Below are 25551 nucleotides of genomic sequence, written 5' to 3'. Positions count from 1 at the left end.
TGGACATGGTGGTGCGTGCCTTTAATCCCAGCTACTCGGGAGGCTGAGGCAGGAGAATTGTTTGAACCTGGGAGGCAGAGGTTGCAGTGAGCCAAGATCGCGCCACTGCACTCCAGCCTGGGCTACAGAGCAAGACTCGGTCTCAAAAAAAAAAAAAAAAAAAAAAAAGTCCCTGTCCCTCACAACATGTGTCAGTCTTTAATCAAAAACAAGGTCAGTGTCTGCGTGTTGAGGAAGAAGAGCAGGTCTAAGGGAGGAGGCTGGGGAAACCCACAGGACTGGGAAGAGAGTGGGGCACAGGGCTGCCTGAGAAAGATCCTTCCAGAAGGATTCTGGAACCTCTCATTTGTTATTCTTCCTGTGACTACAGCGATGCCAGTAATTACAAGTTGCTTGAGGCGAAACACTTCTACCCAATTAAGTTTGTTCCTCACAATAATTCTGTAAAGTGCATGCGCCATCACTATCCCATTTTATACATGCCGCAATTCAAAAAGCGTGTTGAGGTACCCAGGGTCAGCCACTAGAGAGGAACAGAACTGCGACGGGGCCTTATGCTTTCCGACCTTTGCCCCAGGGCTTTATCTGCTAAGAATGGTAACAGTCACCACATATTGATTGCTGGCATTGAGCTTTGGCCTTTGCGTTTACATGTAACCAGTGGCGAGGCATCTGCCACAGTCCCCACGGTTCAGGTGAGTCATTGAGGTGACTTGCCCAGGGTTGCATAGCCAGGAGCTGGCCGGACGGGAATGGACCTAGAGTCCCCGACTGCAGGTCTTGTGCTCGTTGCCCTTCTCCACGCAGGAGAAATGAATGTTCCTTTTGTAACCACAGAGAGGAAAGAAGGTGGCAAGCCTTTTTCCTCAGGCAGGTGCTTGCTGGACTTAGGCTGGTGGGCTGAGGGTGTGAGTGTGAAGAAGAAAAGCCGCGCTAAAGAGCATAGGCACAATTGTGGAAATGAGTTGTCTAAGGCTGTTTAAGTAGGAGAGGGGATCTCCGGGCTGACACAGTGCCAAGGGGAACATCAAGATGATTAACAACGTCCCCAAGCAAAACCAGGCCATGGCGAAGCTGCTCGGGGCTTGTGCCAGCCGCTCTTCCCACCCAGGGCGCTCCTGTGGTTCACCTGTGTGAATTTCATGAGTTTTGACAGCATGTACAGTAGTACAGCCACTGCCATATTCAAGGTGCACAGCAAGGGAGTCCTCCATTGAGACACAGTAAACCGGCCGGGCACGGTGGCTCAAGCCTGTAATCCCAGCACTTTGGGAGGCTGAGGCGGGCGGATCACGAGGTCAGCAGATTGAGACCATCCTGGCTAACACGGTGAAACCCCGTCTCTACTAAAAATAAAATTTAAAAAAATAGCCGGGCGTGGTGGCGGGCGCCTATTTAGTCCCAGCTACTTCGGAGGCTGAGGCAGGAGAATGGCGTGAACCCAGGAGGCGGAGCTTGCAGTGAGCCGAGATCGCGCCACTGCACTCCAGCCTGGGCGACAGAGCGAGATTTCGTGTCAAAAAAAAAAAAAAAAAAAAAAAAAAAAAAGACACAGTAAACCCGGCTACTTCACCCAATCAAAAGCGCACCTGTGGTCAGACCCCATCCTAGCCCCAAAAAGCAAAACTAAAAACAATGCAAAAGAGAAGAAAAACCCACTCGGTTATTTTTCACTTCGGTTCCATAAACCATGTATCCTCTCTCCACCCCCATGTTTAATCCACCATCTGGTCCTGTTGGATTTTGCCGCTGCAGTTCTCTTAAATCATCGTATTCCCTCCCACCCACCACCGTCCACAGCCTGGTCCCGGATGCCTCATCTCATGCCTAAGCCATGCAGCGGGCTCCTGACTCATCCTCCATGTTTCTGCTTGCCTTGTATCCAATGTGGTCGCCACACTGCAGCCAGAAGGATCTTCTGGGCCCTGGTGTGGTGGCTCACGCCTGTAATCCCAGCACTTTGGGAGGCCAAGTGGGGTGGATCACCTGAGGTCAGGAGTTCAAGACCAGCCTGGCCAACGTGGTGAAACCCCATCTCTACAAAAATACAAAAAAATTAGCCGGGCATGATGGCGGGTGCCTGTAATCCCAGCTACTCGGGAGGCCGAGGCAGGAGAATCTCTTGAACCCAGGAGGCAGAGGTTGCAGTGAGCCAAGATCGCGCCACTGCACTCCAGCCTGGGTGACAGAGTGAGACTTTGTCTCAAAGACAACAGAAAAATTCCTAAGTCTGGGCCGGGCATGGTATCTCACACCAGTGATCCCAGCACTTTGGGAGGCCGAGGTAGGAGAATCACTTGAGGATAGGAGTTTGAGACCAGCCTGGGCAGCATAGGGCGACCCCGTCTCTACAAAAAATTTAAAAATTAGTAGGGTATAATGGTGCATGCCTGTAGTCCCAACTACTGAGGAGGCTGAGGCAGGAGGATCGCTTGAGCCTGGGCGGTTAAGGCTGCAGTGAGCCATGCTTGTGCCACTGCATTCTAGCCTGGGTGACAGAGCAAAAAAAAGGAAAAGCCAAGTCTGGTCACGCCAATACCCCTCTCTGATTAAAACCCTTCGGTGGCACCCCACTGTCCACATGGTGGCCAGTCTTTAACCAGACCCACCCGACCTTCATCCTGGTTCCCCTCACCCGGGCCTGCCTCCTGGCCCCTCCTTCCCACCATGAGAACCATCTGGAATGAGTGTCCCCCCCACCCCCCACACCAGGCCCAGCGTGACTCTGGCCGTCTGAGGTCTCAGGTGAGCCTTTGCTGCCTGCTACACCATGTCCCGCCGGCTGTGCTCTCACGACACTGTGTGGCACCGTCTCCTGCCTGCATAGTTCTTGTCACCAGTTTATAGACATTTATGTGTTGCTATGATTAGTGTCTGTTTCCTTCACTGGACTTCCCAGATGTGCCAGGACCACATCCATTTTTGTTCATCGCCGTATTTCTCAATCAATAATTGAATATTATTCATGTTTGTCCTATTGGCAAGGTAGCCCGGGAAACAAGATTTTATCAATAATTTGTTTATATCTTGAGATAGATCATACTGGCCCCCAATTTTTAAAGTTTTGATTTTCATGCATTGATTTAGTGTGCCTGTCATATTAATAAAATACTCTTTCAGTGGAATGTTGTCTTTTGCCCTTAGAGTGGTCTTTTCATTTGTCTCACTTGGGATCTGAATCTCCAAAATTGCAAAGGCTGAAAAATCTTAGAAATGATAACAACTATCAATGTATATTTTCTGTTTCATTGTGTGCCTATAGCATTGCACATCGATGATGCTCAATATGTTTGTAGATTTGTTTATTATATATTATTTTCATTTAAAAAGCATGTAACCACAGTATACAGTTTGGGGAGGAAAGGAAAAAATTGTCTCTAACCTTCCTATTCAACCTCTATTATAATTTTAGTATATACCCCTGGGTATTTTTATGCATTATTATTTTTATTTTTTATTTTTGAGATGGAGTCTCGCTGTGTCGCCCAGGCTGGAGTGCAGTGGCATGATCTTGGCTCACTGCAACCTCTGCCTCCCAGGTTCAAGCGATTCTCCTGCCTCAGCCTCCCAAGTGGCTGGGATTACAAGCATCTGCCACCAGGCCCAGCAAATTTTTGTAGTTTTAGTAGAGATGGGGTTTCACCATGTTGGCCAGGCTAGTCTCGAACTCCTGACCTCAAGTGATTCACCCACCTCGGCCTCCCAGAGTTCTGAGATTATAGGCGTGAGCCACTACACCCGGCCTTTTATATGCATTTTCAACATTGCCATAATCACAGTGTACATAAAATTGTGTGTCCTGATTTTTCCCTTTAAATAACCTTATTGATGGGTCAAATTATTATATTGTATATGGTGTGGTATTTATTCAGTTCAACTCAATAAGCATTTATATGCTTGATACCATTCAAAGAAAATATACAGTGCCTTGGCTCTCCAATAATAGAATACCATAATTACGAAGCTTGCAGTGACATTTTTATTTCATGGATGTATCTCATGGCATCTCCTCTCCCTCCCAGAAGCAGGAACAGTGGCATGGGGGAGGGGCTGCTCCTTCTGGGGTCAGGGAAGTCCTCTCTTAACGGTGATATTTGAGCAGGGACCTGAATGCAGGGAGGAGGGAGCTGTGCAGCTGTGGGGGAAGATTCTTCCTGCAGAGGGATCCTCAGGTACAAAAGCCCTGAGGTGAGAGTGTGCCTGGTCTTTCTAAGGGATTGCAAGGGGACAGTGACACCAGGGCATTGTGAGGGAGGGGAGAGGAGCTAAGGCCAGTGAGCTGCGAGGAGGCCTGAAGGGTCTTCCTGACCCTGGCGGGGCCTCTAGCTTTTCCTCCTAGTGAGATGGGATAGTGGCGTAGTGATAGGATTGCCTCATTCTCCAGGCTTCTCTTTTCCTCTCTGGGGCCTGTCAGTTCCTGCCTTGGTCACCCTCCAGATGAGTGACCTCTCGCCAGGCCTGTAAACTCTCCCAGACACATGCATGATAATATACTGTGCTCATTGCTTATGCGTAAATGTGGAGGTGGGTCGTTGGCCACACCCAGTGGTATCACAGACTCAGATTTGGTTATTGCTGTTCCAGGAAACTGGACACATTCCACATATTTGAAAAGCCATGCAACTAAATTTCTCATTTCTTAATCTTTTGCTCATTTGAGGCACTTGTTCCTCTCTGAAAATAATGACCAAATATGTTTTTCCGATTGCATGAAAAATGTAACCTAGTAAGGATTACTATTAGTCTGTAATTATTAAGCATGCTTCAACTCCTGACAATTCTAGAAAGCAGGTTTTTTTGTGTTTTTGGTTGGGGGTGGTTATCCTAATTATAATCTTCCTTGAATTGCTTTATGGTTAGGTCCGTCACATGCCAAAGTTAGATCCCATTAGCAGGCTTAAAACATTTATTTCTGAAAGAACAAACTGTTACAGGTTGCTGAGTATAATTGATTTCTTTTGTTTCCTTTCTGCTACAGGAGGAGACATCACAGCTTTCCCAGATCGGGAGGAAAAATATGGAATGTGTTTTACCGCTGACTGAACACAACCAAATGAACTGTCCTGACAGTAGTTTGCAAACCAGCAGCTAGCAGTTTGTCCAGCCTCTAACATTGTCCAGCACTTTCCAGAGCAAACTCACTGTTTACAAGAACTCTTGGCCTTACGAAGTTTATAACCTCAAGCTTTGTTTATTTAAAATATTCCTGCAAAAGAAAAGTACCCGGCACCCACTTTCCAAAATGGCCATGGATGAGTATTTGTGGATGGTCATTTTGGGTTTCATCATAGCTTTCATCTTGGCCTTTTCTGTTGGTGCAAACGATGTTGCCAACTCCTTTGGTACAGCCGTGGGCTCTGGTGTGGTGACCTTGAGGCAGGCATGCATTTTAGCTTCAATATTTGAAACCACCGGCTCCGTGTTACTAGGCGCCAAAGTAGGAGAAACCATTCGCAAAGGTATCATTGACGTGAACCTGTACAACGAGACGGTGGAGACTCTCATGGCTGGGGAAGTTAGTGCCATGGTTGGTGAGTAGCCTCTTCTCTATACCGATGGGACATCCGCCCACTGACCCGCTTCCCTGCAGTACTTTGCCCATATCCATAAATGTGATTTTTGCTTTGGCTTTTCAAAAACTGGTTGGATGTTTCACATTTACTCTCTTATTTTTGCTTTCTGCATATTAATTTATGATTTTTAAAGTGTTTAAATATCAGGCAACCATTTATTTTCTGAACTTTTGAGCAAACTTGGTTGCTAAAATAGATTTCAGCTAAGTGAATACTTTTCAGAAAGTACAGAAAAAGACCTTTGTAGAACAGCGCTTTATTATTTTAGAGTTGTTTGAAGGTTGTCTAAGTGAATGTGTTTTCAAGGTTGATGTATGAAATTTCCAGGAAGGTTGATTTAGATTTTTTTCTTAAGGTTTTTCATCAATTAGGAGGCAATGTTTTGAAAACTTGGATGTCAAAAATAATATTTATTAGTCTAACTTTTATATTCACAGTTTAAGTTCTAAAGAAGTTACCAAATAAATCTTAAGTGCGTGTGTTTCAAGAAATTCTGGTCTCTTACATTATTTGTCATCCTTTTGTTGGCTTTTGTTTTGATTTTCTGATTCTACCTCTGGGAGCTCCATTTGGTATGTTTGTTTTGTTTTCCGGCCAAAAAATAATGTGCGTGTTGCCTGGTGATAGCATGACCTTTTATTGCAGTTTCAAGTTGTCTACATGAAGTGTGGAGGTGTGTGAACTGTGTGAATAAGCAGAGTGGCTGGTTGGACAGAGTGATGTCCCCATGGCCTAAGCGGACACAGATCTCGGCCCCGTGGGTCTTCCCATCACTGCCCTCGCTACGACAGAAAAGAACCTTCCCGGCAGGCGTGTGTTAAGTGCAGCTGACAGGATTCTTTTTCTGCTTGCCTCTAGGTAGAGATGACGACACAACAGACAGCTGATGTATACGGGTAATTTGGTTAGGGAGAAGAGGGTTAGAGAGGAATTCTACCACCTTCTGCTTTCAACAGGACATATCCTCTTGTAGGAAGAGTCCTGCAGCAGGAGGTAAGATGCTGGTGTACTAAGAATACAGCCACATTCCCCCGAGTTCTTTATTTTGTCACTTACATTTTTTCTTTTCTTTTTTTTTTTTTTTTTGAGACAGAGTCTTGCTCTGTGGCCCAGGCTGGAGTGCAATAGTGTGATCTCCGCTCACTGCCACCTCCACCTCCTGGGTTCAAGCTATTCTCTCACCTCACCCTCCGGAGTAGCTGAGACTAAAGGCGTGTGCCACCGCACCTGGCTAATTTTTGTATTTTTAGTAGAGACAGGGTTTCACCATGTTGGCCAGGCTAGTCTTGAACTCCTGACCTCAAGCAATCCACCCACCATCACCTCTCAAAGTGCTGGGATTACAGGCGTGAGCCACCACACCTGGCCTGTCACATTTCTTAAACACCTGGAATTTAGAGATTATTGACCAAGTTCACAATGGCCCAATCTCATGTTGTTCGAGGCGTCTGATAAGAAGCAGCCTGTTGTACTAAGGAATTGCATATTCACCAAGCACTGTAGGCCAGTAACACACACCAGGGAGCTCCTACTTCTCAGCTTGACGCTTTGTGTTGTAAAGATGTCAGGTTCAACTTTGGGAGGCCCCCGAGATGGGCAGACCACTTGATCCCAGGAGTTTGAGACCAGTCTGGGCAACATAGGGAGACCCTGTCTGTACAAAAAAACTAAAAAATTAGCTGGGCATGGTGGCACATGCCTGTAGTCCTAGCTGCTTGGGAGGCTGAAGTGGGAGGATTGCTTGAGCCCAGGAGGTTGAGGCTGCAGTGAGTTGTGATTGTGCCACTGCACTCCAGCATGGGCGACATAGCCAGACCCTGTCTCAAAAAAAAAAAAAAAAAAATCAGGTTCAAGATCACTTTCATTCCAACAACTATAGTCATTATTGAATTTTACTTACCTTCATGGAACATATGTATATCTCAGCATAGTCAGATATAATGGAAATTTCTCTTAGAAAAATAACCGTTCTTTGTAAAATTCACCTTTTTAGTTGTGATAGATATCTAAGATTTAATTCCATCAAGTGGAAATTAAGATTTTTCTAGTCAGGAAAATCTGACTAGATGTGTTGAAAGTATGGGACAAATCAAGAAAAACACTGACAAAATTAAATCTTTTTTTTTTTTTTTGAGACGGAATCTCGCTTTGTTGCCCAGGCTGGAGTGCAGTGGTGTGATCTCGGCTCACTGCAACCTCTGCCTCCTGGGTTCAAGCGATTCTCCTGCCTCAGCCTCCTAAGTAGCTGGGATTACAGGCACCCGACACCACACCCAGCTAATTTTTGTATTTTTGGTAGAGATGGGGTTTCACCATGTTAGTCAGGCTGGTCTCAAACTCCTGACCTCGTGATCCTCCCACCTTGGCCTCCCAAAGTGCTGGGATTACAGGCGTGAGCCACCACACCCGGCCACAAAGTTAAGTCTTAACTGAAGTTTTTCCTTTTGATGGATAAACTTTAGAGGCATGGTTCTGCTTATTAAAGAAATTTGTTAGGGAAGCCACGCTGAAGACCTCCGTGTGACAGAAGGGTTCATGAACAAGGCTTCATCTGCTCACTCTTTCTGCAGACGGGATCATTTCTCCGTTCCCCACCCCTGGCGTTTGGCTCTTTACTGAAAGAATGAAGGATACTTACCTCAACTAGAATTTGGGTTTACCAAAGCAATTTGGGGTTTTGCTTGAATAACTTGATTTTGTTTGCTTTGGTTTTTAAACTTTTTTTTTTTTGGTATGTGGTTAAATGAATCTCAAAGCCTATTTTGTTGGGAATTTGTATGAGTTACCTAGATTCATAAAATCGGGTTCTTTGCCCTGGGAGCTATAAATTTAAGATGGTGGTGTAATTACCATTGGCCAAAACCACAGCTGATTCTGTCCAGATGCCTGAATTCTCCAGTCTTCCTCTTCTAAATCCAACAGTCCTTTTTTCTTCTCCCTCTTTCCCTCTGTCCTTAATTCTATTCTGTTTGCTTCTTTTGTTTTCTCTGTTAGTCACTTCTCCCCAAGCCCCTGGGCGTCTGTGCTTCCTGACAGAGTTGTGTTAGAGTTAAGGTGATTGGGTAGAAATTATTGCTGCCAGTGAAACGTCCTGAACAAGTCATCTTGTGGGACTAGCTCAGCCCTAAAGCAGTAGTCTGTCCATTTTGTAGGAAACCACCAATGGTTCCAAAAATCTGAGAATTCAAAACTCTGCATCTTTTTTTGTGGAAAGACCCACACTAGCACAAACGAGCCAGCTCCTCGAAACCCTTAAGAAGCACACAGCCCCCTTCCAGCTCCCTCTGCCCAGCCACACTCTGCCACCCCACCCCCGCCCGGCAGCCTCCCTGGAGCCTGAGCCTTTGCTCTGCCGTTTCTTTCATCTGCACGGGAATGGCGGCCTCTGAGATGCCCATCTCCCCACTTTCCCTAGGTCGTGGCTTGCACTCTTATCCCATGCTTCATCTCTTTCCTCTGTCAGATGCCATTATCTTACATTAAAGTATGTCTTTTTCCCTCTGTTCTTCCTGACACTAACATGATCCCATTTGTCTTCAGACACCCCTGAGGCTAAGGTGCTATCACCTACTCCCAGGCCCTCTTGCAGGTATTTCCTGGCCCCACCAGGCCCTCCCTCAGCTGTCCCCTGTCTCCTCCCCTCCCTGCTATCCTCTCTCCTCCTTCTTCCCTCTCTCAGGTGGTCCCATTACTCCCTACCTTTCTTTACAAACTCTCCTCCTCCAGGATGTATTTTGTAAAGTCAGCCACAGAAAATATAGCAGCTTTCAGGAAGGACAAATCTTATGGTCTGAATTCAATTGGGTGGGTTGATATCACTGTCTCACATCATGAGATTATTTTAATTGTAAGAATATAGGCTGGTAGCGGTGGCTCACACCTGTAATCCGAGCACTTTGGGAGGCCGAGGCAGGCGGATCATGAGGTCAGGAGATTGAGACCATCTTGGCTGACGCGGTGAAACCCCGTCTCTACTAAAAATACAAAAAATTAGCCGGGCGTGGTAGCGGGCACCTGTAGTCCCAGCTACTCGGGAGGCTGAGGCAGGAGAATGGCGTGAACCCAGGAGGCAGAGCTTGCAGTGAGCCGAGATTGCGCCTGGGCAACAGAGCAAGACCCCGTCTAAAAAAAAAAAAAAGAATATAAACCATATCATGTATTTTCTAAGCTATGAATCCGTGCTATGAAACGTGCTCCAAACCCTGGCTTTCTTTTTAAAACCACTAGTCCCCGAGGAGCCCAGGGCTCAGATGTGGAGGCTTAAGGAGGTGTCCGCGGGTAGGCCTGGCGCTGCCATGGAGCCTGATATGGGTTTGGCAGCACAAGGCTGGCCCCTTCTCCTCCCAACGCACGCCTTAAGGATTGACACAGGGTCACAGCCAGCCTCAGCTCAAAGGTCAGCACGCCTAGCACTCATGGCAGCAACTGTGTGTGTTGCTTCATGGACTGGGTCCTGCACAGCCATAAATGATCCTCCTGCAACTCAGATGCCTTTGAAGGAAATGCCAGGGGTCCCCTGAAAAGTGCTGCTGCTGCCAGGCAACCAGGTTTCCAGAATTAACGTTTGGGATTAATAACGTGCCCAGCTTATCAGCCAGGCCCTTTGTTCCCCTACAGTTCCATGGGAGCTTTTCAACAACTGCTTCTGAAAGTGATCTCTCCCGGTTGATGCTTTTAATACTCACTACAAAATCTGATCTGCTTATGAAAATATTTGAAGTGAACTGTAGCCTAGAAAAACATGAAACCTAGAAAAGAGTTGGTGAAATTGAGGTAAAAGGACACAAAGCCAACACTAATGAGAACCTCTTAACAACAAGGAATCAGACACACAAATAAAAAGTCCAACATTCTGGGTAGGATCTGAGAGCAGATGCCCAAATTTGGGTTAAATATCATAGTTATTTCTCATAGGAGAGGCACCATCAACAAGCAGTATGGGCTGGGTGCAGTGGCTCACTGCATCCAGTGAGCCTGTCATCCCAGCACTTTGGGAGGCCATGGTGGGAAAATGGCTTGAGCCCAGGAGTTCAAGACCAGCCAGGGCAACATAGCAAGACCCCCGTCTCTGCAAAAAAATTTTAATAATTAGCTGAGTGTGGCAGCTCATGCCTGTAATCCCAGGGCTTTGGGAGGCTGAAGCAGGAGGATTGCTTAAGGCCAGGAGTTCCAAACCAGCCTGGGTAACATAGCAAAATCCTGTCTCTGCAAAAAAATTTAAAAATTAACCAGGTGTGGTGGTGCACACTTGTAATCTCAGCTGCTTGGGAGGCTGAGACAGGAGGATCATTTGAGTCCAGGAGTTTAAGGCTGCAGTGAGCCATGATTTTGCAGCTGTACTCCAGCCTGGGCAAGAGTGAGACGCTGTCTCTACAAAAGAAAAAAAGAAAAGAAAAGAAAAAAGCAACATGGTATTATACTCTCTTATATAGATAATATGACCTAGCCAATATCTGGTCCTTTTCATTATGTGACTGTAAGGCAGAACTACAACAAAATCTTTTCCCAATATATTGCCTTTCTAGTCTTTCTGTGTTCATTCGAGACTTTAATCTCTTGCTTGGTTTTGGCCAAAATTCACCCCAGAACAAGTTCATACACAGCACCCTCACTGAAAACTGACAAGGGCAGTCAGTGTGTAGCACCAGGAGACTTGCCTTTAAATGCATAATCTGGCCGGACACAATGCCTCACGCATGTAATCCCAGCACTTTGGGAGGCCAAGGCGGGTAGATCACTTGAGGTTAGGGGTTCGAGACCAGCCTGGCTAACATAGTGAGACCCCATCTTTACTAAAAATACAAAAATTAGCCAGAGGGCTTGCTTGAACCCAGGAGGCAGAGGTTGCAGTGAGCCAAGATCAGGCCACTGCACTCCAGCCTGGGCAACAGAGCAGGACTAGCTTCAAAAAATAAATAAATAACCATCATCCCTGTCCCCTCTGTGTTGAGGAAGGCAGAAGCTTTCCTTTAACTGAAGTTAATTGAGTGATTTTTGTCCAGGCTGTAGCGCTTTGTAAAGAAACAATTCACAGAAAATTAAACTCTGGGAGATGTTGTTATGGAAAACATTTGGATTTCTTCCCTTGGTGTCTGCACCTCTGTACTCTGTATCTGATGGTTTTTTGTCCTTCAATCTGTAGGTTCCGCTGTGTGGCAGCTGATTGCTTCCTTCCTGAGGCTTCCAATCTCAGGAACGCACTGCATTGTGGGTTCTACTATAGGATTCTCACTGGTCGCAATCGGTACCAAAGGTGTGCAGTGGATGGAGCTTGTCAAGATTGGTAATTGGCATTTTCTTTTACCCATAAGAAGGAAAGTTTACATTTTCTAGAGTAAGTTTTATTACAAGTTACTTTTTTTTTTTTTTTGACCCGGAGTGTCACTCTGTTGCCAGGCTGGAGTGCAGTGGTGCAATCTCGGCTCACTGCAACCTCCACCTCCCGGGTTCAAGCCATTCTCCTGCCTCAACCTCCTGAGTACCTGGTACTACAGGCTCCTCCTACCACGCCTGCTAATTTTTGTATTTTTAGTAGAGATGAGGTTTCACCATGTTGGCCAGGATGGTCTTAATCTCTTGACCTCATGATCGGCCTGCCTTAGCCTCCCAAAGAGCCAGGATTATAGGCGTGAGCCACCGTGCCCAGCCACAGGTTAATTTTATATCTTTTTCTTCAAATGTTAAGGTTTAAAAGACCTAGATGGGCCAGACATGGTGGCTCACGCCTATAATCCCAGCACTTTGGGAGGCCAAGGCAGGCAGATCACCTGAGGTCAGGAGTTCAAGACCAGCCTGGCCAACATGGTTCAACCCCATCTCTACAAAAATACAAAAATTAACTGGGCATGATGGCAGGTACCTGTAATCCCAGCTACTAGGGAGGCTGAGGCAGGAGAATCACTTCAACCTGGAAGGCAGAGTTTGCAGTGAGCCGGGATCGAGTCACTGCACTCCAGCCTGGGCAACAAAGCAAGACTCTGTCTCAAAAAAAAGACGTAGATGGTATGAGTAATATATTTTCCCTTAAAATTCCTGTTTTTTGTTTTGTTTTGTTATGTTTTGTTGTTTTGTTTTGTAGAGATGGAGTCTCGCTCTGGCACCCAGGCTGGAGTGCTAGAGTGCAGTGGCGCAATCTCGGCTCACTGCAACCTCCGCCTCCCGAGTTCAAGCAGTTCTCCTGCCTCAGCCTCCCGAGTAGCTAGGATTACAGGCACATGCCACCACGCCCAGCTCATTTCTTTTGTATTTTAGTACAGACAGGGTTTCACCATGTTGCCCAGGCTGGTCTTGAACTCTTGAGCTCAGTCAATCCACCTGCCTCGGGCTGCAAAAGTGCCAGGATTACAGGTGTGAGCCACCGCACCTGGCCAAAGTTCCTGTTAATAGAGATAGTGAACTATTATGTGCTGGACAGTTGTTTAACTCTATTCTTTTGAAATGTTACCTTGTCATCCAGCTTTGGAAATCACCCTCTGTTCTTCCCAGGCAGGTAAGAAATGTGTTAGACTGAAGTCAGTCTATAGGTCAGAGAAAGATTGAGCACAAGTGAGGAAGATGCCTGGAATCCAGGAGTTCATAGTCTTGGGGAAGCCTCAAAGTGAGCCCCGTGTTATGTCCCTGCCTTCAACAGATCATCCAGGTCAGGCGCAGTGGCTCAGGCCTGTAATTCCATCACTTTGGGAGGCCAAGGCAGGAGGATTGCTTTAGCCCAGGAGTTCAAGACCAGCCTGAGCAACATAGCAAGAGCCCATCTTTACAACAAAAAAAAAAAAAAAAGAAAGAAAATTAGCCTGGTGTGATGGTGCGCACTTGTAGTCCCAGCTACTCAGGAGGCTGAGGTGGGAGGATCACTTGTACCTCAGAGGTTGAGGCTGCAGTGAGCCATGATTATGCCACTGCACTCCAGCCCCTGGGTGACAGAGCAAGACCCTGTCTCAAAAAAAAAAAAAAAAAAAAAAAAAAAAAAAGATCATCCAGCCTGCCCTTTGGGAAGAAACACTCTGTCAACTGTCCTCTCTACCTTGTAAGCCTGCCTGGCAGGGACCAAGACGTAAGCCTGCACCCATTATCAGGTGTCTAACAAGTTAGTGCCTGGCTCTGCTTTTAGGAAGAGGTAAATCCATTCACCTCCACAAATACCATCCCACCCATCGTGAACGATACTCTTTCACTCCATTTCCATATTCTGGGTTACTCAATTTTTTACAAGAATCATGATGACCTTAGGAGTCCTGGGTCAAATGGGATCCCTGAGCTGCCAGGCAGGGGCACAAACCACAAGGAAACCCACCTTCCATCCCAGGCTTCTAGAACAGTGGTTCTCAACTCTGGCTGTACTTTAGAATGACCCGGGGAAGCGATTGAAAAATACCAATGCCCAAACCCCATTCCCAACCTTTTAAATCAGAATTCTGGGGGTCCAGCCAGGGCCAAACGAGTTTTTGAAAATGCCCCAGATGGTTCCACTGTGCACCCAGAGGCGGGAACTACTTGGCTAGAGGCTAAAAGTTTCAGAGTTCCAGCAGCTAGATGGCAGGAATGAAAGTACCCGGCTGGCCTTGGCAAAGGAAATGGAAGTTGGCCCAGCTTTTAAATAACCCTTACTGTTGGAACAGCAACAGAGTCTCCATATGTGTTGATAAGAAGGGCAGGCAGAAAGACTCCGTGGGAGGCAGGACTCAGGATGCTGTCTTCTGAGGCCCGAGCTTGGGGCAGGGGTTTCTTGACCCTGCATTGGCAGTGTGGTCAGTGGTGTGTGACTGTGTGTTGATGTCTGAGTGTGGCCATAAATGTGTGAAGGTCAGCTCTGCCAAGTCACAGGGCTTGTTAGGTTCTGAATTAAAGGTAAATAATTCTGGAAATACTTATGAATGTATGTAATACATTTTGTTTATCATTGTGTTCTATGAATAGGACCATAATTATGAATGAATTTTAACATTCATTAGATTTTTTTTTTAATTATTCAGTTGCTTCTTGGTTTATATCTCCACTGTTGTCTGGTTTCATGTCTGGCCTGCTGTTTGTACTCATCAGAATTTTCATCTTAAAAAAGGTAAGTGGGGCTGCTACTTTTAATTAAATCTTAAGAACTATTTTTGGCTCTACTCAGTAGAAATTAATAATGAGAGGGGTTAGAGGAATAATTGTATTCATACATTGTCAAGGCACAGCACCCTGCAGTTAGCGTCAGATGTTATTATAAATAGCCAGAAAGAGCCAAGGTAAATTACCCAGAGAGTCCCCCAGAAACAAGCACTGCAAATAGTGTTTCTTGGCTCTGTACTTTAGTTCATTAATCAACACTCCCAGGAGTTGTGCTGAGACCTCAAAAAGGAAAGGTAATTATTTCCTGAATGTTAAGCAGAATAGAATGAGATAGTGTTAAGATTTTGAAACTGTCATTAAAAAACAGCTGGAGAATTTCCTCACCCAAATGTGAAGGTGTGTTCCCTTTTTTTTTTTTAATGGAGAGAGCAAGGTTGAAACACTGACGCAATTTGAGGAAAGGATAAAAAGAAGGAAATACACCTATTGGGTACATCTTGTCTAAAAAAAAATTAGTGCTTACTGAGATCAGTGTTCTAGACACAAAACGTGGCTATCTTCTTTTGTTTGGCAGTCACAGGGTTGCTGCAGTGTTTGATAACTATTGAGTGCATGCTTCCTCTGCAGGCAGGGACGTACCCTCCAGGTTGTACCTTGCTTGGAAGCTGGCGCAGCCCTTTTCTTGCAGCCTTGCTTGGCCATCTGTTGAAGGGTCCATTCTCTCGGAGAGCACCAACTTGCCCTCACCGTTTCTCACCCTTCCTTCTCCTGGGACCAGGAACACTCATATTCACATATTGGAAGGCACACCCCTCTCTAGCCTGCCAGCCTTCACCCCTCCCCTCCTGTCTCTGGAATCCATGCTCACCTGGCAAGCCCTACTCCGCCCTTAGGTGTCACTTCCTAGGAAGCTGCTCCTCTCCTCCCCTCCCCCAGATTCGCCTGGTCCCCTCTCTTTTGAGCTCCGGCCACAGTCCACCTTGCCATCACGGCACTTAGCATGTCATATGGTGCTGCATTTCTTGCTTAGTTGCCTGTTCACTATTTGACTGTAAGATCTGTGAGAGCAGAAACCATGACTGCCCTGGCCACTTCTGTATTCTAGGGCCCAGCACTGTGCTTAGCACTTACAAGACACTTGGTAAATATTTAGGCAGAGGGAATGACAGATGCTTGGATGAGTGGCAGATAGAGGGATGGATAGATGGAAAGGAGGGAGGGAGAGAGAGAAAGAAAGTGGAGGGAAGAAAGGAGACAGGTCAAACAAGAAGTCTGTCAATGAGTTTCAAGACTAAGTTATTTTAGGCCAGGCGCGGTGGATCACTTGAGGTCAGGAGTTCAAGACCAGCCTGGCAAACATAGCGAAACCCCATCTCTACTAAAAATACAAAAAGTTAGCCCGGCATGGTGGTGCATGCCTGTAGTCACAGCTACTTGGGAGGCGGAAGCATGAGAATCGCTTGAACTTGGAGGCAGAGGTTGCAGTGAGCCAAGATTGCACCACTGCACTCCAGCCTGGGCAACAGAGTGGGACTCTGTCTAAAAAAAAAAAAAAAAGATATTTGAAAAAACATACGGTAATTTAATTGAAAACACAGACTCGGGGCTGTCCACCTGCAGAAGTTATTGGTTGGGAATCTCTCTTTAGCAATGTCCCTAAGAAAACAATGCCATGGAAACGGCATAGGTCATAGTCATTGAGCCTCCCAGCATTTTGTTTTCAGTTCATCCTGGGTTCTTTTCACGTGATACATCACAGATGATCATAGCTGGCTGTGTCACTCATGCCAGGCTCCAGCCCATTAATCTTGGTGTTTGCCACATGGCTGCCTCCCCTGCCTGGTCTGGTGTGACACTCCCACACTTGAGTCTCATTCTGCCCTGCTCTTGCTGCATCACGCCTCACTGCATTCAACTCGAGCCTCTTGACAAGTGCTCTTGGCTCCTTGAGACATTCCAGAACAGCTCCTTGATGGGCTGTACTGTTCTGCAAACATACTTGACTTCCAGGCGTGTTTGCATTTGGCAGTAGCAGTCTTTGAGATGCTTATCCATACTTCTGCTGCTGTCATCGATTTTTAGACCTAATTTTCCTTTTATCATGGCAGGTAGCATGTTCATGTAAATGTGGCCTTCGTGGTTATTAGAAGTTAGCCCCTTTTTGAATTATTTGAGCCACATCTGTGTGCCAGTGTTACATTGATGGGAGTTTCTGGCCCGTATTTTTACTTCAAAATTCTCTGTAGATCTGCTAAAAACTCTAAATGCCTCATATTCTCTTAGATGTTATTTAACTGAAAACATGCGCAGTACCATTCGTGTTGAACTTACTAGATTTAGGGAGTGTTGTAGCAGAAGCCTAAAGTAGTTAATAAATGTCGAATGGCAAATAAATTATTCAACAAGGAACTGCAGTTCTTTTTAACTTCTAATAGTCGAAGGTTAAATACTATACCTTGGGAAAAGATTCGGAAATTCATAGCACATGGTAACATAGCTAAGATGCATTGTGTAATAGAGTGTTGTAAAATCTCATGGTAATGCAGTGATGCTGAAGTCATCTGACTCTCTTAGAGGATGCTTGGAGGTTGGAATCTCAAATTATTTGTTGAATGTAGCCAGTTAGGGCCAAACCTGGACTTGGCTGTAGTGAGCACTATGGGTTTTGAGGAAGGAGATGCTGAGCTCTGGGCTTTGGTCCTCCGGAACCGGCTTGACCCAACAGATCTTTTCTGTTTCCAAGTCTGACATCAGCTCATGTGATTCCAGGGCTTTAATGTGTCTGCTGGCCACAACAGTGGGCTCTTTGACATTGCATTTGTGTGGGAGAGATGGCCCCAGCCAATGCCATTTCTGCAGAAGTGGAGCAGATCACAGGCAGTGACAACGCCCATCCTTTTGGCCACACTGGGGTTTGGGAAGAGTTTCTTGTAACAGTATTTTGTATCATTTTGTCTGTGTTGGCTCCAAATGCTGCTGGGATCCTGACCTTCCACTCTGTCTCCTTGTCTTCCTACAGGAAGACCCTGTTCCCAATGGCCTCCGGGCACTCCCAGTATTCTATGCTGCTACCATAGCAATCAATGTCTTTTCCATCATGTACACAGGAGCACCAGGTAAGGATCCCTTGGAAGCATACTCCAGGGGCAAAGTGCATTGTATTCTAACAGTATCAGTTTATTTGGTGCTGGTATTGTTGGCTGACAGTAAAAAGCATTACTCATGGTCATTATGGAATAGGTGCTGGAGTTGTTGGCTGATAGTAAAATGCGTTACTCATGGTCATTATAGAATAGTAAAAAGAGTGGTAAATGCATTTACTTGTCTTAATTAAATACCCAAGAGATATGTAGAGTACAAAGGCAACAGACTTTCAAGTTAGAAAAAAAAATTAAATCCCCACTCTGCCATTTACGCAGCTGTGTTGCCACTATAGCTTAGCCTCTCTGAGCCTCAGAACCTGATCTAATCCCACAGGCCTACAGGGTTGTGCAGGGGTCAGGAGAGGGTGTGGAGCACCTGGGGCCATGCCTGGCACCCAGTGAGCGGGACAGTCCACACATCAGCAATGCCCAGCGGAGCTCTAAAGCCGTTCACAGCACAGAGTACAGACCCCTGGAAATATCAGACCAGTTTATCCAGAGACTAGAAGCCATGCTTTGTTTTTTTAGATACCGAAGCCAATGATGATTTTCTTTGCTGAATTACTCCTTTCCTTGTCATTCTCATGGATTTTGTTGTTATTTTTTATGTTTTTTTTTTTTTTTTTTTTTTTTGAGATAGAGTCTCACTCTCTCACCCAGGATGGAGTGCAATCGCGCTATCTTGGAAAACTGCAACCTCCGCCTCCCAGGTTCAAGCGATTCTCCTGCCTCAGCCTCCTTAGTAGCTGGGATTACAGGAGCACACCACAGGTTTTCACTATGTTGGCCAGGCTGGTCTCGAACTCCTGACCTTGTGATCCGCCTGCCTCGACCTCCCAAAGTGCTGGGATTACAGGCGTGAGCCACTGCGCCTGGCCGCTTTTGTTCTTTTGTATAAAGGTTCAGAGGTTTTTTGTGGGGGGGGGGGTTAAAAATTATTTTTTATTTTATTTTATTTTTGAGACAGAGGCTCGCTCTGTTGCCCAGGCTGGAGTGCAGTGGCGCTATCTTGGCTCACTGCAAGCTCCGCCTCCTGGGTTCATGCCATTCTCCTGCCTCAGCCTCCCGAGTAGCTGGGACTACAGGCGCCCTCCTCCTCGCCCAGCTAATTTTTTGTATTTTTAGTAGAGACAGGGGTTTCACCATATTAGCCAGGATGGTCTCAGTCTCCTGACCTCATGATCCGCCCCACCTTGGCCTCCCAAAGTGCTGGGATTACAGGCATGAGCCACCATGCCCGGCCTTTTTTTTTTTTTTTTTCTTTATTGCCCAGGCTGGAATGCAGTGGTGCAATCATAGCCCACTGCAGCCTTGACCTCATGGGCCCAAGCAATCCTCCCACCTCAGCCCCCTGAGTAGCCGGAACCACAGGTGTGTGCCACCACACCCAGCTAATTTTTTATTTTTTGTAGAGATGGGGTCTCTATATTGCCCAGGCTGGTATCAAACTCCTGGCCTCAAGTAATCCTCCTGCCTCAGCTTCCCAAAGTGCTGGGATTACAGGTGTGAGCCCTACTGCACCTGGCCTAATTCTTTTCTTTTAGACCTTGAATAGGAAAATGAATAAGCTTATGTATGGTATTCTTGTTTGCACCCATTTCAGCACTGATGAGCTAGTAGCATTCTGTTAAACATTTCTGTACATGTTTGCTAGAGAATATTCCTCTTCTGTTTGTGAGATGCGCCTCCTACAGCCAGACTGTGGGATCTGTGACATCAACAGATGTGTTAGTTTGTGCTGGTTTTCATCTTCTTAATGTCTGTTATGGATGAAGATTTGGTTATTGGCCATGTTGACAGAAAAGGCTCCCTCTCTGTGTTTTAAAGATGAAATTTCTGCTAAATGACATGTCCTATCATAATCGAAAAGCGCCCTCTTCCAAAATAGTGGAAATCCTTATTACTTTCTCAAACTAGGAGTTCTCAATGTAATGTTCCTCAGATTTTATTAAGAATATCTAATTATATTTTATATGTTTCAGTACTGGGAATAAAGTATTCCTAAATGATTCTAACATTATATAACCTTTTACTGTGGTATCTGTGTAGTGTTCAGAACATTGATCTTAAAGGCTTAAATACTCAGCCGGGCGCAGTGGCTCATGCCTGTAATCCCAACACTTTGGGAGGCCGAGGTGGGTGGATCACAAGGTCAAGAGATCAAGACCATCCTGGCCAACCTGGTGAAACCCCGTCTCTACTAAAAATACAAAAATTAGCTGGGCGTGATGGTGCGCGCCTGTAGTCCCAGCTACTCAGGAGGCTGAGGCAGGATAATTGCTTGAACCTGAACCCAGGAGGTGGAGGTTGCAGTGAGCCAAGCTTGCGCCACTGCCCTCCAGCCTGGGTGACACAGCGAGACTTTGTCTCAAAAAAAAAAAAAAAGTTTAAATACTCACTGTGGGGCTTCCAGACTTTGGGTGATTTGCGGATGAAGGAAAGGGGAGTGCCAGAGCTGCTTTAGGTTCTAGGAAAGCAGGAAGCAAAGTTAGATTGATGAGGAGAGTGGGAGGAAGGTGAAATCCCAGTCACAGGTAACAGCAGCCTGCTGCCCCTTTAGGTTATATAATTCATGGACCAGGAAGTGTGTTTGTCACAGCTTTTTGAAGTATGTGCCCCAGGATAAATTTTTTTTAAGTGAGGCTGGGCGCGGTGGCTCACACCTATAATCCCCGCTGTTTGGGAGGCTGAGGAAGGCAGATCACTTGAACCAGGTCAAGAGTTCTAAACCAGTGTGGCCAACATGGTGAAACCCCATCTCTACTAAAAATACAAAAATCAGCTGGTCATGGTGGCGGGCACCTGTAATCCCAGCTACCCGGGAGGCTGAGGCAGGAGAATCACTTGAACCTGGGAGGTGGAGATTGCAGTGAGCCGAGATCCCGCCACTGCACTCCAGCCTCGTCGACAGAGCAAGACTCCATCTCAAAAATAAAACAAAACAAAAAAATTTGTTTTAAGTGAGTGACAGAGAAAAATCAGTTCCAAACCATGGAGTTAAGCGCACCACCTAGCATGTGAATCCCTCAAACATCTCATAATGCCAGGTAATTGGAAGGCCTGGAGCACTGGGTTGGAAGTGAACTCTGTAACGGGAGATATCTTAGTCCTTGTTTTTTTTTTTTTTTTTTTTTTTTGAGACAGAGTCTCGTACTGTCTCCCGGGCTGGAGTGCAATGGCATGATCTCAGCTCACTGCAACCTCTGCCTCCCAGGTTCAAGCAATTCTCTTGCCTCAGCTTCCCAAGTAGCTGGGATTACTGGCGCCTGCCACCACGCCTGGCTAATTTTTTGTATTTTTAGTAGAGACGGGGTTTTGCTATGTTGGCCAGTCTGGTCTCAAACTCCTGACCTCGTGATCCGCCTGCCTTGGCCTCTCAAAGTGGGATTACAGGCATGAGCCACTGCACCTTGCCCTTTGTTCTTATTTTATATGGGCTTTTAGAGTTCAAGTTAGCTGAACAGAAAGCAAAGCCTCCTGCAATCACCAGACGCCTCCCAGGTTGCTGACTTAAGAGACTGAGCCAGTGAAAGCTGAGGACGCCTTCTGTGGTGCCAAGTCCTGAACATGGGAATTGGCATCAATATGGATGGGGTTTTTTCGTTTCTGCATTTTATTTTTTCTACCCTCTATTCTTCTTGCTTCCTGGTTCTTCTTCCAACTGTCAGAAGACAATTACGATTTTTAATAAAAGTCTGACTTTTTCTATACATGGCCTTTTTTTTCCATCTCTTCTTTCCCCCATCTTTTGGCTGCAGTTGGCACATTCGCTAAAAATATCATCTTACTGGGAGAGTAAATTATCCTAGGGAAAATTAAACTGTGTGATGAATGAGACTCTAAGAATAATATAAATACTAATATAAATACTTCATAGGGTTGTTGTGAGAAATAAATAATGTAACTGTATTGAACTGAGCTTTATGTGGATTAATCCTTCTAGTCCTCCCAACTACTCTTGGTAATTGGCAATACAAATAACCTCATTTTACAGGTGGGAAACTGAGGCAGGGCAATGCTGAATACCCAAGGTCCTGTAACTAATAGGATGCAGAACCAGAATTTGAACCATGCCTCCAGTCCTGAGCCCTGGGGTCTTAGTTGTGACATTATACAGATGTGGGAGGTAGTTTAAAACACTACATATAATACCTGGTATGTAATATAGCAGTTAATGATAATAAAAATTGCATCAACCTTAACAAATTTTTTTTTTTTTGAGACGGAGTGTCATTCTGTCACCTAGGCTCCAGCAATCTCGGCTCACTGCAAGCTCCACCTCCTGGGTTCATGCCATTCTCCTGCCTCAGCCTCCTGAGTAGTTGGGACTACAGGGGCCCACCACCACACCCGGCTAATTTTTTGTATTTTTAGTAGAGATGGGGTTTCACCGTGTTAGCCAGGATGGTCTCTATCTCCTGACCTCATGATCTGCCCGCCTCAGCCTCCCAAAGTGCTGGGATTACAGGCGTGAGCCACCGCGCCCAGCCTCAACCTTAACAAATTATTTCTCTTCTCTTAACTCTCTTTAAAATGTCTTCTGGTATATTTGGGAACCTGGAGTGCATGCGCACGCTCTCTCTCTCTCTCTCTCTCTCTCTCTCTCTCTCTATATATATATATATATTTTTTTTTTTTTTTTTTTAGACGGAGTCTTGCTCTGTCTCCTAGGCTAGAGTGCAGTAGTGTGATCTCAGCTCACTGCAAGCTCCATCTCCTGGGTTTAGGGATTCTCCTGCCTCAGCCTCCCAAGCGGCTGGGACTACAAGACGCACGCCACCACACCTGGCTAATTTTTAATTTTTAGTAGAGACAGGGTTTCACCATGTTAGCCAAGCTAGTCTCAAACCCCTGACCTGAGGTGATCCGCCCACCTCGGCCTCCCAAAGTGCTGGGATTATAGGTGTGAGCCACCGCGCCCAGCTATTTTTGTACATATTTAATATACTAGTTAGTGTGAAGAAGCAGCCACCTCCTAATTAGGAATATAAAAAATCTGGGCTGGTCATGGTGGTTAACACCTGTCATCCCAGCACTTAAGAAGGCTGAGGAGGAGCATCACTTGAAGCCAGGTGTTCAAGACCAGCCTTGGCAACATAGCAAGACCCCATCTCTACCAAAATAACAATAATAATAATAATAATTGTAAAATCTGTATAAGGGAGTAAAGGCTGTCGTGAACTATGATCGTGGCCCTGCACTCAACCAGATGACAAAGCGAGGCCCTGTCTCAAAAAAAAAAAAAAATCTGTGTAAGGATCTTGAAGTTCATTATTCCCTCGAAGCACAACCAGTATTTATTCCCAGTCCTGAAGTTAGCGTTAGGTTCTGTAGTTGGGTGGCTGTTCTGTCAGGAATGTGACATCACCTCCCCTCCCAAAGTCTTATTCCTGATTATAAAGTAAGGCCAGGAGTAGCATCTCCGTTCGAGGGACACTATAGTCCCTGAGATAATGAAGGTGGGGTACCTGGCACAGTGCCCGGCACATAATCAATGCTTCATACAGTCATTGGTCCCTCCCTCTCCTCGGAGATTGGCTGTAGGACCTCCGTAGATACCAAAATTCGGCCGGGCGCGGTGGCTCACGCCTGTAATCTCAGCACTTCGGGAGGCCGAGACGGGCGGATCATGAGGTCAGGAGATCGAGACCATCCTTGCTAACATGGTGAAACCCTGTTTCTACTGAAAATAAAAAAATTTGCCCAGCGTGGTGGCAGGCACCTGTAGTCCCAGCTACTCGGGAGGCTGAGGCAGGAGAATGGCATGAACCTAGTAGGGGGAGCTTACAGTGACCTGAGATTGCACCACTGCACTCCAGCCTGGGAGACAGAGCGAGACTCTGTCTCAAAAACAAACAAAAAAAATGATACCAAAATCCATGGATATTCAAGTCCCTTAAGTTGGCCGCCAGTATCTGCTGAACCATGGACGGAGAAGGCCAACCGTGCCTGTTAGAGGCTGTTTTGTTACCATCAGTCATAATTAACCTAACCCAGTCTTTTGGCCTTAACTTGCCAGAAACTCCTGAGTCATCCTGTCCTTCTGTTTTTCCACACATCTTTGTATGGAAAAATTCTTACTTGAAGTTTCTCAAGGGGCTTGCCTAGAGGAGAAGGTCATGGCTCTGAAGGTCCCACCATTTTGTTCCTCCGATGAGTCAAAAAAGGACTTTGCTAATATTTTGATTCCAGGGGAATGTTTCTAGAATGTCCAGTGAGTGAGTCAAAATCTTATTTTTATGTAAGCCTTGAAGGTATTTTGTCCTTCAATGTAGACTTTCATTACATACTGTTTCCTCATATGGGGTATCTCTGCGAGTCCAGCTGTGTCATTAATAGCCGTGGTGTCCTAGTTCGTGTTTTTGGTGTTTTGTTTTGATTTCCTCTGCTTCTCTACTCTTAATTATTGTGAAGTTGATTATTTCTTAGGCTTAGTTTGATTTGTGTTACTTTACATTTGACATGACTTTTCTCAAAAGTCATTCTTACACTTCAAAGACTAAGTTCGCACTTTTAAAAAATTGTCTTTGCATTTTTGTTCTTAAAAAAATGACTTGCAAGGACTAAAAAATAACTTTAGGAAATAAAATGCTTACTTGGGTTGGATACAAGCCTAAGCTTCATTTTTAATGAAAAAGTCTTCAGTTGTGTGGGGCCTGGTTTTTGTTCAGTGTTTAAACAGTGAATGCTAAAGTTCATGGCATGCCCCTTTGAACAGTCGAAGCAGGTCACCCAGTTAAGCCTCTGGTAGGCACCTTCTAAGGCAATGTGTGGTCCCTGGCCAGCAATAGCATGCAGGAACTTGTCAAGATGCAGATTCCGAGGCCCAGCCCTGGACCCACAGAATGCAGCCCAGTGACCTGTGGTTTAATAGGGGAGCCTCAGTGATTTGGAAGCATGTTACAGTTTGAGAACCACTGCTCTAGGCACGTCTCTTACCAGAAACGTGGCTTCCTCATTACCGTTCTAATGTAATGGGTACTCCCAAAAGTTCTAACCCTAACCCAACCTTTGCTCACTCGTTTCCACCAGCAAAGGAATTCCCAACTTAACCAGGCCTGGTTCCTGACTTTCCCAGAGCATGTCTGTACCTGAGACATGCCTGCCCCTGCCTCTGCGGCCTCCTGCGGCCTCCTCCCCCTCCTCCTCCTCTTCATCTCTTCCTCCCCTCCTCCATCTTTTCCTCCTTCTGCTCTTCCATCTCTGTCTCCTCCTCTTTATCTCTTCCTCCTCGTCCTCCCCCTCTTCATCTCTTCCTCCTCATCCTCCTCTTCTTCATCTCTTCCTCTTCCCGCTCCTCCATCTCTTCCTGCTCCTCCTCTTTATCTCTTCTTCCTCCTCCTCTTTATCTCTTCCTCCTCCTCTTCATCTCTTCCTACTCCTCCTCTTCATCCCTTCCTCCTTCTCCATCTCTTCCTCCTCCTCCTCTTCATCTCTTCCTCCTCTTCTTCTTCATCTCTTCCTCCTCCTCCTCCATCTCTTCCTCCTTCTCCTCTTTATCTCTTCCTCCTCTTCCTCCATTTCTTCCTCCTCCTATCTCTTTCTTCTCCTCCATCTCTTCCTCCACCTCCTCCATCTCTTCCTGTTCCATCTCTTCCTCCTCTATCTCTTCCTCCTCCACTTCATTTCTTCCTCCTCCTCTTCCATCTCTTCCTCCTCCTCCTCCATCTCTTCCTCCTCCTCCTATCTCTTCCTCCTCCTCCTCCATCTCTTCCTCCTCCTCTTCATCTCTTCCTCTTCCTCCTCCATCTTTTCCTCCTCCTCTTTCATCTCTTCCTCCTCCTCTT

At 46.0% G+C, this 25551-nt stretch overlaps 1 protein-coding gene across 16 annotated transcripts in view, besides 5 other annotated features; it reads left to right on the top strand.

Moving 5' to 3' along the window:
• Positions 1-25551, top strand: part of SLC20A2 (solute carrier family 20 member 2) — a 125480-nt gene that overhangs the window by 64322 nt on the left and 35607 nt on the right. For 10 of the 16 annotated variants that reach the window (XM_017013748.2, NM_006749.5, XM_005273613.4 and 7 more), the window contains 4 exons: positions 4979-5531; positions 11716-11856; positions 14543-14628; positions 17641-17737. In XM_017013748.2, coding sequence (XP_016869237.1) covers positions 5243-5531; positions 11716-11856; positions 14543-14628; positions 17641-17737 — 613 coding nt within the window. In that variant the 5' untranslated portion in view covers positions 4979-5242. Of the gene's footprint in view, positions 1-4978; positions 5532-6431; positions 6567-11715; positions 11857-14542; positions 14629-17640; positions 17738-25551 lie in introns of those variants that run through there. The other 6 variants (XM_024447237.2, XM_006716390.5, XM_047422124.1 and 3 more) reach the window with 2 other exon arrangements.
• Positions 651-1174: an enhancer, noted in NCBI's record as "H3K27ac-H3K4me1 hESC enhancer chr8:42333977-42334500 (GRCh37/hg19 assembly coordinates)". NCBI's record gives its function as "activates a minimal SCP1, AML or CMV promoter by ChIP-STARR-seq in primed H9 embryonic stem cells {active_cell/tissue: H9 hESC(primed)}" and the evidence as "EXISTENCE:reporter gene assay evidence [ECO:0000049][PMID:30033119]".
• Positions 1175-1700: an enhancer, noted in NCBI's record as "H3K27ac-H3K4me1 hESC enhancer chr8:42333451-42333976 (GRCh37/hg19 assembly coordinates)". NCBI's record gives its function as "activates a minimal SCP1, AML or CMV promoter by ChIP-STARR-seq in primed H9 embryonic stem cells {active_cell/tissue: H9 hESC(primed)}" and the evidence as "EXISTENCE:reporter gene assay evidence [ECO:0000049][PMID:30033119]".
• Positions 2173-2684: an enhancer, noted in NCBI's record as "H3K4me1 hESC enhancer chr8:42332467-42332978 (GRCh37/hg19 assembly coordinates)". NCBI's record gives its function as "activates a minimal SCP1, AML or CMV promoter by ChIP-STARR-seq in primed H9 embryonic stem cells {active_cell/tissue: H9 hESC(primed)}" and the evidence as "EXISTENCE:reporter gene assay evidence [ECO:0000049][PMID:30033119]".
• Positions 2685-3196: an enhancer, noted in NCBI's record as "H3K4me1 hESC enhancer chr8:42331955-42332466 (GRCh37/hg19 assembly coordinates)". NCBI's record gives its function as "activates a minimal SCP1, AML or CMV promoter by ChIP-STARR-seq in primed H9 embryonic stem cells {active_cell/tissue: H9 hESC(primed)}" and the evidence as "EXISTENCE:reporter gene assay evidence [ECO:0000049][PMID:30033119]".
• Positions 14028-14322: a silencer, noted in NCBI's record as "tiled region #15103; HepG2 Repressive non-DNase unmatched - State 15:Elon". NCBI's record gives its function as "represses a minimal TATA promoter and a strong SV40 promoter by Sharpr-MPRA in HepG2 cells {active_cell/tissue: HepG2}" and the evidence as "EXISTENCE:reporter gene assay evidence [ECO:0000049][PMID:27701403]".

The sequence above is a fragment of the Homo sapiens genome, chromosome 8 (assembly GCF_000001405.40).
Source record: "Homo sapiens chromosome 8, GRCh38.p14 Primary Assembly".
In the NCBI taxonomy this organism is placed as follows: domain Eukaryota; kingdom Metazoa; phylum Chordata; class Mammalia; order Primates; family Hominidae; genus Homo; species Homo sapiens.
Note: the sequence above shows the minus strand (reverse complement) of the source record. Positions and strands in the feature narration are given on the sequence as shown.